This window comes from Homo sapiens, chromosome 1 (genome assembly GCF_000001405.40).
Source record: "Homo sapiens chromosome 1, GRCh38.p14 Primary Assembly".
In the NCBI taxonomy this organism is placed as follows: Eukaryota; Metazoa; Chordata; class Mammalia; order Primates; family Hominidae; genus Homo; species Homo sapiens.
This window is the reverse complement of record NC_000001.11, coordinates 21,825,763-21,839,105: the sequence shown is the minus strand read 5'-3', so window position 1 is coordinate 21,839,105 and position 13,343 is coordinate 21,825,763. Positions and strand designations below refer to the sequence as shown.

General features: G+C 56.9%; 1 protein-coding gene across 9 annotated transcripts in view; it reads left to right on the top strand.

The window, feature by feature from the left end:
• Window positions 1-13,343, top strand: part of HSPG2 (heparan sulfate proteoglycan 2) — a 115,067-nt gene that overhangs the window by 98,205 nt on the left and 3,519 nt on the right. For all 9 annotated transcript variants that reach the window (NM_005529.7, XM_047419090.1, NM_001291860.2 and 6 more), the window contains 18 exons: window positions 21-281; window positions 2,100-2,304; window positions 3,469-3,566; window positions 4,161-4,427; window positions 5,181-5,290; window positions 5,492-5,639; window positions 5,722-5,838; window positions 6,500-6,611; window positions 7,310-7,454; window positions 7,544-7,643; window positions 7,782-7,891; window positions 8,016-8,124; window positions 9,015-9,113; window positions 9,502-9,723; window positions 10,027-10,271; window positions 10,680-10,851; window positions 10,954-11,076; window positions 11,187-11,243. In NM_005529.7, coding sequence (NP_005520.4) covers window positions 21-281; window positions 2,100-2,304; window positions 3,469-3,566; window positions 4,161-4,427; window positions 5,181-5,290; window positions 5,492-5,639; window positions 5,722-5,838; window positions 6,500-6,611; window positions 7,310-7,454; window positions 7,544-7,643; window positions 7,782-7,891; window positions 8,016-8,124; window positions 9,015-9,113; window positions 9,502-9,723; window positions 10,027-10,271; window positions 10,680-10,851; window positions 10,954-11,076; window positions 11,187-11,243 — 2,700 coding nt within the window. The remainder of the gene's footprint in view (window positions 1-20; window positions 282-2,099; window positions 2,305-3,468; window positions 3,567-4,160; window positions 4,428-5,180; window positions 5,291-5,491; window positions 5,640-5,721; window positions 5,839-6,499; window positions 6,612-7,309; window positions 7,455-7,543; window positions 7,644-7,781; window positions 7,892-8,015; window positions 8,125-9,014; window positions 9,114-9,501; window positions 9,724-10,026; window positions 10,272-10,679; window positions 10,852-10,953; window positions 11,077-11,186; window positions 11,244-13,343) is intronic.

Here is a 13,343-nt window from a genome sequence, read left to right as displayed (position 1 = left end):
CTCTGTGTCCCCCCACTCAGGCCCACCATATGCCACCACGGTCCCAGAGCACGCTTCGGTGCAGGCAGGGGAGACGGTGCAGCTCCAGTGCCTGGCTCACGGGACACCCCCACTCACCTTCCAGTGGAGCCGCGTGGGCAGCAGCCTTCCTGGGAGGGCGACCGCCAGGAACGAGCTGCTGCACTTTGAGCGTGCAGCCCCTGAGGACTCAGGCCGCTACCGCTGCCGGGTCACCAACAAGGTGGGCTCAGCCGAGGCCTTTGCCCAGCTGCTCGTCCAAGGTAAGCAGCCCCGGCTCTGCGTGGAAGGGGATCACCTTTCCTCCTGGCCCTTTGATGACCCAGCTAGGCAGACTCGGGTGGGAAGGCCTCCCTCCATAACCCCACCTGGAATGCCCTCATCTCCCCTACTCTCCAGGGCCCGAGGCAGGCTTGCCACCTCCAGGAAGCCCTCCATCATGTGTGCTCAGCTCCTCTAGCTCTCACGGCTGCTCCCCACCTTTGGCACAGCCCTGGCACTGCCAAAGGAAACCATTCTGTGTACATAAGCACCCCAGCCTGCCTCCCCTGCCAGGCAGTGAGAATGCTCAGGGCAGGGCCTGGACCCAGGCATCTCAGCAGCCCTGGGCTTAATTGAGGGCAACAAGGCCCAGGATGGGCTGGGTAAATGCTTGACAGGGACAACAGTGAATGAGTGACAGGAGCACCCACCCCAGCACGCCCAGGGCTTCAGTGGATCTTCAGAGAGCCCAGCATTTCCATGGCCTCCTGCATCAATGATACAAATGAGGGCTTTTGGGCCCCAAACTTAAAGCAGCACAGCATGTAGCCCACTGGTCAAGAGCCTGGACTGTGGACTCAGACCTGGGTTCAAAGCACAGCTTGGCCATTTGCTGGCTGTGCAACCTTGGCCAAGTCACTGAACCTTTTTGAGCCTCAGTTTCTTTCTTTTTTTTTTTTTTTTTTTTTTTGAGACAGAATCTCACTCTTTCACCCAGGCTGGAGTGCAGTGGCATGATCTCGGTTCACTGCAACCTCCATCTCCCGAGTTCAAGCCTTTCTCGTGCCTCAGCCTCCCGAGTAGCTGGCACTACAGGCACGCGCCACCACGCTTGGCTAATTTTTGTGTTTTTAGTAGAGAAGGGGATTCGCCATGTTGGCCAGGCTGGTCTCGAACTCCTGACCTCATGTGATCCACCCACCTCAGCCTCCCAAAGTGCTGGGATTACCGGCGTGAGCCACTGCACTCGTCCTGAGCCTCAGTTTCTTTATCTGTAAAGTGGAGAGAACAATGCCAACCATGTAGGCTGAGTTGGAAAGGTACACAGAGGTAAACACAGATGTAAAACTGTGGCTCGCAGTAGGCACTTAGTAAATGGGGACAGTATGCATCAGCCCCCGCCTCCCATCTGTCCCCTGCATGTGTAGGTGTCTTTGCCATGGCCAAGTCCCTGGATTCTCTTATTTAAACTGCAGGCAGAATAGGCTTTGCTGTCCTTCCTTAAAATGTCTGAGTATGGCCGGGCGCGGTGGCTCACGCCTGTAATCCTAGCACCTTGGGAGGCCGAGGCAGGCAGATTGCCTGAGCTCAGGAGTTTGAGACCAGCCTGGGCAACATGGTGAAACCCCGTCTCTACTAAAATACAAAAAAAAAAAAAAAATTAGCCAGGCACGGTGGCGCACCTGTAGTCTCAGCTACTCGGGAGGCTGAGGCAGGAGAATCGCTTGAACCCGGGAGGTGGACGTTGCAGTGAGCTGAGATCGTGCCACTGCACTCCAGCCTGGGAACAGAGCGAGACTCCGTCTCAAAAAAAGTATTGAGTCCCTCCCACTCTTTTCGTGGCCTGCCCTCCCCACCCAGAAGCGAGGAGCTGTGGAAACAGAGCCCAGCGCTCCACAGGCCCTTATCCATGTTGGTGGAATGGCAGCTGTGTGTGCAGATGAATGAATCTGCCACTGAACGGTCTTTTTTCCCTGGTCAGAGAGGCTATCAGGAGAACATTCCTTGAATGTTGGGCTGGGGGTTTCCTGGGTCCCTGGAGGGGCATCAGGGACATCACACACACATATACCTGCAGAACCTCATACATGTCCCCGCAGGCCCTCCCGGCTCTCTCCCTGCCACCTCCATCCCAGCAGGGTCCACGCCCACCGTGCAGGTCACGCCTCAGCTAGAGACCAAGAGCATTGGGGCCAGCGTTGAGTTCCACTGTGCTGTGCCCAGCGACCGGGGTACCCAGCTCCGTTGGTTCAAGGAAGGGGGTCAGCTGCCTCCGGGTCACAGCGTGCAGGATGGGGTGCTCCGGTGAGTGGGGCCGGGGGCAGGACTGGACTTGGGCAGCATAGCCCAGGGCTCACAGTGAGCAGAGTTAAAGCACCTGCCCCAGGGGGCGCAACATGAAGCACTGTCCTTGGACACATCACTTTACCTCTCTGAGCCTCAGTGTTCTCAGCTGTACAGTGGGTTATATAAGACTGAATGAGGTCCAGGCACGGTGGCTCATGCCTGTAATCCCAGCACTTTGGGAGGCTGAGGCGGGCAGATCACCTGAGGTCAGGAGTTTGAGACCAGCCTGGCCAACATGGTGAAACCCTGCCTCTACTAAAAATACAAAAAATTAACTGGGTGTGGTGGTGGGCACCTGTAATCCCAACTACGCTGGAGGCTGAGGCAGGAGAATCACTTGAACCCAGGAGGCGGAAGTTGCAGTGAGCCAAGATCGCACCATTGCACTCCAACCTGGGTGACAAGAGCAAAACTCCATCTCAAAAAGAAAAAAGACTGAAAGGAGATTGTCTGAAGCACTTGCACAGTGCTTGGTGCTTGGAAGGCCTTCAGTAAACAGTGGCCCATTCATATTTATTATTAGCGGAGGAAAGAGAACAGGCCCTGGGGCCAGAAATACACAAATGACCCCAGATCTCAGCTCTGCTACTTGATAACTGTGTAATCTTGAGCCCTAGACCATAAGGTCTTTGTCTAAAATGAGTGTGGTGCCCCCCAACCTGCCTGCCTACCTCTAGTGGTTATTGGGAAACTAGAATGCAACACTGCGTGCTGTTCTACATCAGTTTTTAATGCCCACACAATTGCAAAGCATTCTTTTTTTTTTTTTTTTTTTTGAGATGGAATCTTACTCTGTCACCCACGCTGGAGTGCAGTGGCGCAATCTCGGCTTACTGCAACCTCCGCCTCCCGGGTTCAAGCGTTTCTCGTGCCTCAGTCTCCCAAGTATCTGGGATTACAGGCGTGTGCCACCACGCCTGGCTAATTTTTGTATGTTTAGTAGAAACAGGGTTTCACCATGTTGGCCAGGCTGGTCTCAAGCTCCTGATCTCAAGTGATGCGCCTGCCTCAGCCTCCCAAAGTGCTGGGATTACAGGCGTGAGCCACCACGCCCAGCCCAATTGCAAAGCATTCTATCAGTTGTTTTCAACTCCCTGATGTCTTATTATTTTTTCTTTATAGAATCCAGAACTTGGACCAGAGCTGCCAAGGGACGTATATATGCCAGGCCCATGGACCTTGGGGGAAGGCCCAGGCCAGTGCCCAGCTGGTTATCCAAGGTAGGAGGGTGGCTTCAGGCCTCTGCTAAGAGCAGGGAACAGAGATGAGAAAGGCAGAGAGGCACAAGGCCCAGACCCTGTTCCCTAGGAATCCCCCTAAATGTGTCAGAATAAAGAGAATTATTCCATTTTGCCTTGCTTGTGTCTAGCATAGAGTAAAAGGGGCTTGATACATATTTCAAGGGAGGGAAGAAGGATATGGATGGAGTGTGTGAGTGCTCAGATGAACCGATGAAGATTGAATCAGTGTGAACCGGGCATGGTGGAACGCACCTGTAGTCCCACCTACTCAGGAGGCTAAGCTGGGAGCATTGCTTGAGCGCATGAATTCTAGGCTGTGGTGAGCCGTGATCACACCTGTGAATACAACCAAGACCCTTTGTCTAAAAAAAAAAAAGAAGTGGACACGTGAGTGAGTAAATGCATAAGACCTGACAAGTGAGTGTGTTTGTGAGTGAATGCATGAAAAAGTGAATGAGGAGTGAATGAATGCTGGAGCTTCAGTGCTCACCTTTCCTTGGGCAGTCTATGGCCTCCCTCGGGCCAGGCCTGCAGTGACTGATCTCACTGGACCTCTGCCTCCCTCCTCCCCAGCCCTGCCCTCGGTGCTCATCAACATCCGGACCTCTGTGCAGACCGTGGTGGTTGGCCACGCCGTGGAGTTCGAATGCCTGGCACTGGGTGACCCCAAGCCTCAGGTGACATGGAGCAAAGTTGGAGGGCACCTGCGGCCAGGCATTGTGCAGAGCGGAGGTGTCGTCAGGATCGCCCACGTAGAGCTGGCTGATGCGGGACAGTATCGCTGCACTGCCACCAACGCAGCTGGCACCACACAATCCCACGTCCTGCTGCTTGTGCAAGGTGAAGGCCAGTGGGGACTTTTGTTGGGGGACAGTGAGTGGGGCAGGGGCTTCTCCTGCTGCCATCTTCTGCCTGCCCGCTCTGCTCTTCCTTTCTGTTCACTTGGGACATTTTCCATTGTGTGTGTTTAAGGGGCAGGTTTCATAACAGGTGGCAGCAGCAGGGGATAAAAGTGAGATTCCCCCAGGGCAGCCTGGAATGTACAGGGAGAGAGCTAGGCCATAGAGCATCAAGAAGAAAAAAGAAACCTTGTCCTCATCTGCAGGGAGTGCCTGCTCTGCTGGGAGAGACCTGCAGCATAGTCTGAGGGCAGAGACATAACCCAGTCAACAAACAGACCTAATAGAGAGTAAAACAAGGACAACAGATGCAGGGCAGACACAAACACTGTGTGTTCTTTAAAGGCAATTCCTTTTTACCCCAAGCCCTGTGACTTGCCTCCAAACTTCCTTACCTATACTGCCCCTAGTGTGCACTTCTCAGGTCCCCAAAGGGCTGCACAATTTTTTGCCCAGGCATGTTGAAGAGGTCTCAGGCTGTGGAGTGAAATGGATCTGGCCCTGAACCCTGACTCTGCCCGACCAGGAGCAAACAGCCGCTTTTCCCCTCTGAGCCATAATTTCCTCATCTGTGAAATGGAATGTAGTGGCTTCCTTCAAGGGGTGGTGTGAAGATGAAATGAATCAGGGTGCAGGCTGGGCACATATCTGTGACTGTCATGTTGATGGCCTATGTCTCTTCCATGCCTCTCAGCCTTGCCCCAGATCTCAATGCCCCAAGAAGTCCGTGTGCCTGCTGGTTCTGCAGCTGTCTTCCCCTGCATAGCCTCAGGCTACCCCACTCCTGACATCAGCTGGAGCAAGGTAAGTGCTGGAGAGGGAACCAGCGGGCATGACTTGGGGGCTGGGAACAGATCTGAAGCGTCTCAGTGTCCCCAGGATGTGGCACAGGCTTGGCCAAGAGCAAACGCTCAATGTTGGAAGGTGGGCCTGAGGCACAGATGGGAGGTGGGCCCCTGGAGCCGTGGGCCAAGGCCAGGGCCCTCAGTGCTAGTGCATTTGCAGCTGGATGGCAGCCTGCCACCTGACAGCCGCCTGGAGAACAACATGCTGATGCTGCCCTCAGTCCGACCCCAGGACGCAGGTACCTACGTCTGCACCGCCACTAACCGCCAGGGCAAGGTCAAAGCCTTTGCCCACCTGCAGGTGCCAGGTAAGACACCACCCCTAAGAATTGGCAGTGCCCTGCCCACTCCCTGACTGGCAGGGTCTTCAGCTGTGCTCTCTGCTGGCAGAGCGGGTGGTGCCCTACTTCACGCAGACCCCCTACTCCTTCCTACCGCTGCCCACCATCAAGGATGCCTACAGGAAGTTCGAGATCAAGATCACCTTCCGGCCCGACTCAGCCGATGGTGAGCAGGAGGGTTAATTTGCGGGGTGGGCTGGCCTGGGTTGAGGGACCTCGTGGAGTAACTGCCATCATGGCAGGAGCCCTGGCTGCCCCTCAGTCCTGCCCCAATCCCTCAGCCCTCCCTCTCCAGAAGCCCCCAGACCTCTGGGCCTCCACCCTGGTGTGCCTTCTCTTGTGCCTCCCGGCTTCTCCATCCCTGCCTCTGTGATATCTCCAGCCTCCTCGTGGCTCCTCTGCCACCGGGGCATCACCCCCAGTCCTCCTGTCCCAGCTTCCTTTCCCCATCTCTGCTCCTTCCTCCCTCCTCTGCCTCCATCTCACCCTTTCCTCCTCTCTTTCTCTCGTCTCTTACGGGTCTCTGACTTTCACTGTCCAGGCCTCCTTCTCTACTCGGGTGAGTCTCTGCCTCCCTCTCCCCCTTGAGGGAGACTCCAGTGTGTGTGAAGCAAATTCAGTTTCTTTCTAGGGGCGCTCAGTAAGGCCCTTGCGTTTGGGGCACCAGCCCTGAGATAGTGAGAAGGCCCTGGCTGTGTGAGGAGTGCCAGAGGGAGGGACAGGTTCCGAGAGTGGACAGGCTCAAGAGCTTGGGTGGTTTCTAGGGTGGGGGAGGACAGGGAGCCTGTGGCTGGAAGGGGGCCCCTTACACAGTGGTGCCCACCCAGGGATGCTGCTGTACAATGGGCAGAAGCGAGTCCCAGGGAGCCCCACCAACCTGGCCAACCGGCAGCCCGACTTCATCTCCTTCGGCCTCGTGGGGGGAAGGCCCGAGTTCCGGTGAGACCCCCAGCCTCCCCACCTACAGGGGGACTGGACACAGGGCTTTGGTCTGGCAAGTGCTACCCTGGGCTCCATTATACAAAGGAGATCTGGAGGAAGGAGAAAATGTGGCCGTTACCCTTGGTGACCACCCAATCTGCTAGAGTAGGAATAGTATGCCAGTCAGGTGGAGGAGGGTGCAACCTCAGACTTGGGACTGCTGCAGGCCAGGATTCATTCATTCATTCATTCATTCATGCATGCATGCATCAGTTATTTGCTGACCACCCCATGTGTGCCAGGCACTGATACAGGTAAAACAAAACAGACCAAATTCTGGCTCTTGTGGGAAGAGGTGTATTCTCACTGGGGAAGAATAAACAAGCCATAAACAGAGAAACAAGGTGATCACAGGGAGAGAGGAGTCCTCAGAGGAACAAGGAGGCCAGGTGCTAGGCTGCAGGGCGCTGAGCCTGGGGTCCCTGTGGGCTGCTCTGGGAAAGCTCCCAGCAAAAGGATGTGGGGAGAGAAGATCCAGGGGATGGGTCACGGGGAGGGACGACAAGACAGGGACAGGAACGGGAACAGCCCCAGGGCTGGGACTGCAGGAAGTGGTGACATCCCTCCTCTGGGACCCCTCTACCCAACTGGGCCCCTAGCCCTTCTTACAAACCCCCTATCCACTCTCTCCTGCCCCGGCCTGCCCCACGGAGCAGGTTCGATGCAGGCTCAGGCATGGCCACCATCCGCCATCCCACACCACTGGCCCTGGGCCATTTCCACACCGTGACCCTGCTGCGCAGCCTCACCCAGGGCTCCCTGATTGTGGGTGACCTGGCCCCGGTCAATGGGACCTCCCAGGTGAGACCCAACCCCATACTGCTACTTCCAGCCCTCATCCCGCCCTTGCCCAGCCTCTGTTGCCATTCCTGACTTCCCCACCTCCCCAGGGCAAGTTCCAGGGCCTGGATCTGAACGAGGAACTCTACCTGGGTGGCTATCCTGACTATGGTGCCATCCCCAAGGCGGGGCTGAGCAGCGGCTTCATAGGTGAGCCCCCTCCCCACCTCCAGCTGAGGCTGGGCCTTACCTGGCTGGCTGGAAGAGCCCTGGAGAGCCTGGGAGGGCACCTCAGGGTATGGGCTGGGACACCCTGCCCTGTGCTCATCCTGCCCACTCACCTCCCAGGCTGTGTCCGGGAGCTGCGCATCCAGGGCGAGGAGATCGTCTTCCATGACCTCAACCTCACGGCGCACGGCATCTCCCACTGCCCCACCTGTCGGGACCGGCCCTGCCAGGTGACCCCACACCCCACACACCACCTGGCTGCCGTGGCCTCCACCCCTAGCCATGGCTGGCCCCTGTGGGGATTATGGGGGGTACTGAATGTTCTCGGCCTTACTTCTGGGGGCTGCTTTGCAGAATGGCGGTCAGTGCCATGACTCTGAGAGCAGCAGCTACGTGTGCGTCTGCCCAGCTGGCTTCACCGGGAGCCGCTGTGAGCACTCGCAGGCCCTGCACTGCCATCCAGGTACGCACCCCGACCGCCAGTCGCTGTCGCCCCAGGGCCTGCCTCTTCCCTTTGCTGCCTCCCCATATCCACCACCATCTCAACCACTGGGGCACTTCCACACCCCCCACTCTCACCTGAGCACTCTCCACTCCTCCCATGTACCCATCCCCCATCTCTGCTACCCGAAGGCCCTCACCCCATCACTGCTGCTTCCCCTCCTCCAGCCCTGCTGACCAAATTCTTACCACTACCCCGCCACCCAGGCACTCCCCCACCCCCAGCCCATCTTTTTTTTTTTTTTTTTTTTTTGAGACGAAGTTTCGCTCTTGTTGCCCAGGCTGGAGTGCAGTGGCACGATCTCAGCTCACTGCAACTTCCACCTCCCGGGTTCAAGCGATTCTCCTGCCTCAGCCTCCTGAGTAGCTGGGAATACAAGTGTCTGCCACCACCCCTGGCTAAATTTTTTGCATTTTTAGTAGAGGCGGGGTTTCACTACGTTGGCCATGGCTGGTCTTGAACTCCTGACCTCAGGTGATCCACCCACCTCGGCCTCCCAAAGTGCTGGGATTACAGGCATGAGCCCCCACGCCCGGCCCCCAGTCCCATCTTATTACCCAGGTGCCCACCCCATTACCCGCCACCAGGTGCTCCCCCTCCAACACTGTCCAGTCTCTGAAGAACCTGCAGACACACAGAGTCCCTCGACTGCTTCCCCTGCAGTCCTCCCTGTGGCCTCTTCTGGCTCCCGCCTTGCTCTGCTCAGTTCCCTCCTCCAAGGCCTCCCAGGAGGCTGGCCTGGCCCTCACTAGCCCAGCCCCCCGGGGTGTGATGGGCAGACCTCTGGCATCAGGACCCCCCTCCCTCCAGAGTCACCTCCGTGTCTTTTCACTGGCCTATGTGCCCCCCAGAGGCCTGTGGGCCCGACGCCACCTGTGTGAACCGGCCTGACGGTCGAGGCTACACCTGCCGCTGCCACCTGGGCCGCTCGGGGTTGCGGTGTGAGGAAGGTGAGGGGAGCCAGGCCTGAGACCCCCAGGGTCCTAGTGTCAGCTGGGGAGGCTGGGTGGGGCACTCTGAGGCCATGATGGGCCCTACGGATGATAAAACGATTCCCAAGCCAGAGGATCTCGAAGTCACCTGGCCACATGTCTGCCCAGCCTGAGCCCCTTATTGAGTGAGGGCCCCCAAAGAGGACCCCTGTCATATTGGAGCTCCTCCCAGCCCCGTGTGCAAGGGCAGGGGGGCTCCTGTGCCACTGCAGCTGGTGCCAACTGGTCCTGAGCCTCTGGGCCTGGAGAGTGAGGCAGGCAAGGGTCCCAGAGGAAGGCAGAGTAGCTGGACCCCACCCGAGGGTCCAGGATCCCCACTGCCTCAGCTGAGCTGTGGCTGCTGCAGGTGTGACAGTGACCACCCCCTCGCTGTCGGGTGCTGGCTCCTACCTGGCACTGCCCGCCCTCACCAACACACACCACGAGCTACGCCTGGACGTGGAGTTCAAGCCACTCGCCCCTGACGGGGTCCTGCTGTTCAGCGGGGGGAAGAGCGGGCCTGTGGAGGACTTCGTGTCCCTGGCGATGGTGGGCGGCCACCTGGAGTTCCGCTATGAGTTGGGGTCAGGTAAGCACCCAGCACCAAATGCGGGGCTCTGCACACCAAGCCTTGTGCCCCCCTCGGCTCTTCAAGCCCCAGGGAGGCATGGGAGGATAAATGCAGGGATCAGGGCAAGTCCCCTCTTCCTGTGCATTTCGTCTCTGTGTCACTTGAGGCCAATCCCTAGCCCTCTCTGAGCCATGGGCTCCTCATCTGGAATACAGAAGGCTGTAGGGCATTCCCCATCTGCTCAGGGCCCTGTTTGTGGTGGAGAGGGCAGGGAGCCCCGTGTGCCCCCATGTGCCCAACCCTGCCTGGCATCCTCCCCAGGGCTGGCCGTTCTGCGGAGCGCCGAGCCGCTGGCCCTGGGCCGCTGGCACCGTGTGTCTGCAGAGCGTCTCAACAAGGACGGCAGCCTGCGGGTGAATGGTGGACGCCCTGTGCTGCGCTCCTCGCCCGGCAAGAGCCAGGGCCTCAACCTGCACACCCTGCTCTACCTGGGGGGTGTGGAGCCTTCCGTGCCACTGTCCCCGGCCACCAACATGAGCGCTCACTTCCGCGGCTGTGTGGGCGAGGTAAGAGCAGCCTCCTCGGGACAAGCGGGAGGGGAGGGGTGCCAAGCCTTGTGTCCCCCTCGGCTCTCCAAGCACCTTGGCATTGGGCCCCTCCACCTGCAGCCACCCACGGGCCCTGGGCCAGGACACTGTACCTCTGAGCCTCAGTTTCCTCCTCTGTAAAATGGGCATGATCACACCTACTTTGAAAGGTTGGGCAGAGGATTGTCTGCACTGACGGATGAATGTTTCTAGCACACAGTAGGCACTCAACTCCTGCGCCTCCCTCCCCACACCGAGAATCCATGCTACCACTCAGGGCCCAATGTGGGCTCCCAGCTCCCCTCTGCTGCATTCTTCTCCCTGCTGGTACACCTGGGTCTCTGCCTCCCAGGCCCCTTTAGTCCCTCGGTGTCCCTGTCCCCACAGGTGTCAGTGAATGGCAAACGGCTGGACCTCACCTACAGTTTCCTAGGCAGCCAGGGCATCGGGCAATGCTATGATAGCTCCCCATGTGAGCGCCAGCCTTGCCAACATGGTGCCACGTGCATGCCCGCTGGCGAGTATGAGTTCCAGTGCCTGTGTCGAGATGGATTCAAAGGTGGGAAAGCCTGCCCAGGGCACCGGAGGGGAGGGGCACAGGTGGTCAGCGACACCTCCAGCCCATGCCCACCCACCCACTCGCCTCTGCCCTGGCCCACAGGAGACCTGTGTGAGCACGAGGAGAACCCCTGCCAGCTCCGTGAACCCTGTCTGCATGGGGGCACCTGCCAGGGCACCCGCTGCCTCTGCCTCCCTGGCTTCTCTGGCCCACGCTGCCAACAAGGTACCCAGGCCTGGCTTCTCTCCACTTCATCTCTGTCTTGGGGCCCCGGAGCTCGACATAGTACCCACGGGTGTCTATGCCCACCAACTGGACCCTGCCCTTCTCCATAGGCTCTGGACATGGCATAGCAGAGTCCGACTGGCATCTTGAAGGCAGCGGGGGCAATGGTGAGTACTTGCCATGGCCTCCTCCCCAGCTTCAGCTCAGCTCACTCTTCCAGTTACCCCACACCCTCAATTCTGGCCTGCAAGCAAAACAGCTTTATATGAGGAGCTTGCTGGGCAGAGAGACAGAATGAAGACCACAGCCATGTGGAGCTAGGGCCTGCCCCACACTTACTGGCTGGGTGACCTTGGGCAGGCCTTTGAAACCACTCTGACCTCAGTTTCCTCCTCTGTATTCATGTATTCAGTCAACAAACTATTGTTGCCCATCCTTGCCCTGAGAGCAGTAAATATAAGATGCATAAAGCAAGACCCTCATTCCCAAGAATTCCACCGTCTACTGAAAAGCTAAGGAAACAGTGAAGAGTGAATGCTGATTGAATGTTTACGGACACTGTGCTAACCCCTTTACAGACACATCTCTTCTTATGTATCACTAATATAATAGGCGAGGCAGTGGTATAGTGGGTAAGAGTATAGACTTGGAGCCAGCCTGCTTGGGTTCAAATCCTAGCTCTCCCACTTACTAGCTGTGGAACTTTGGGTGAGTCGCTTAACCTCTCTGTGCCTCATATAAAATGGAGATGAGTAACATCTTTCCCTAAAGATTTGGATAAAATTTTATGTGAGAGTAAAATTACTTAGTGCATTTTTTTTTAAGGTGGAGTCTTGCTCTTTCACCCAGGCTGGAGTGCAGTGGCACAATCTCGGCTCACTGCAACCCCCGCCTCCCAGACTCAAGCGATTCTGCTGCCTCAGCTTCCTGAGTAGCTGGGATTACAGGTGCCTGCCACCACACCCCGCTAATTTTTGTATTTTTTGTAGGGATGGGGTTTCACCATGTTGGCCAGGCCTGTCTCTAACTCCTGACCTCAGGTGATCCGCCCCCCTTGGCTTCCTAAAGTGCTGGATTACAGGCGTAAGCCACCGTCCTAAAGTGCTGGATTACAGGCATAAGCCACCGCGCCCGGCCACTTAGTGCATTTTAAATGCCTAGAACAATGTGTGGTACAGAGTCAGTACAGAATGTTAGCTGTTGTTAATATTATGTTCAGCTGGCCGGGCACACTGGCTCACGCCTGTAATCCCAGCACTTTAGGAAGCTGAAGCGGGCAGATCACCTGAGGTTGGGAATTTGAGACCAGCCTGACCAACATGGAGAAACCCCATCTCTACTAAAAATACAAAATTAGCTGGGCGTGGTGGCACATGCCTATAATCCCAGCTACTCCGGAGGCTGAGGCAGGAGAATCGCTTGAACCTGGGAGGTGGAGGTTGCCATGAGCCAAGATTGCATGCACCATTGCACTCCAGCCTGGGCAACAAGAGCGAAACTCCCTCTCAAAAAAAAATACTATATTCAGCTGGGTATGGTGACTCACGCCTATAATCCCAGCACTTTGGGAGGCTGTGGCGGGCAGATTGCTTGAGCCCAGGAGTTCCAGACCAGCCTGGGCAACAAGGCGAAATCCTGTCTCTACAAAAAAATACAAAAAGTAGCTGGGCATGGTGGTGCTCATCTATGGTCCCAGCTACTCAGGAGACAGGCAGGAGGATTGCTTGAGCCCAGGAGTTCAAGATCAACCTGGGCAACACAGGGAGACCTCATCTCTACAAGAAATTTAAGAATTAGCTGGGTGTGGTGGCACATGGCTATGGTCCCAGCTGAGGCAGAAGGATCACTTGAGCCCAGGAGGTCGAGGCTGTAGTGAGCTACAATTGTGTCACTGCACTCTAGCCTGGGCAACAGACTGAGACCCTGTCTCAAAAAAATAAAAAATAAGGCTGGGTGCGGTGGCTCACACCTGTCATCCCAGCACTTTGGGAGGACAAGGTGGGTGGATCACCTGAGATCAGTTCGAGACCAGCCTGGCCAACATGGCGAAACCCCATCTCTACTAAAAATACAAAAATTAGCCAGGTGTGGTGGTGCACACCTGTAGTCCCAGCTACTCGGGAGGCCAAGGCAGGAGAATTGCTTGAACCTGGGAGGTGGGGGTTGTAGTGAACCAAGATTGTGCCACTGCACTCCAGCCTGGGCCACGGAGCGAGACTCCATCTCAAAAATAAATAAATAAAATAAAAATTATCTATATATAATAT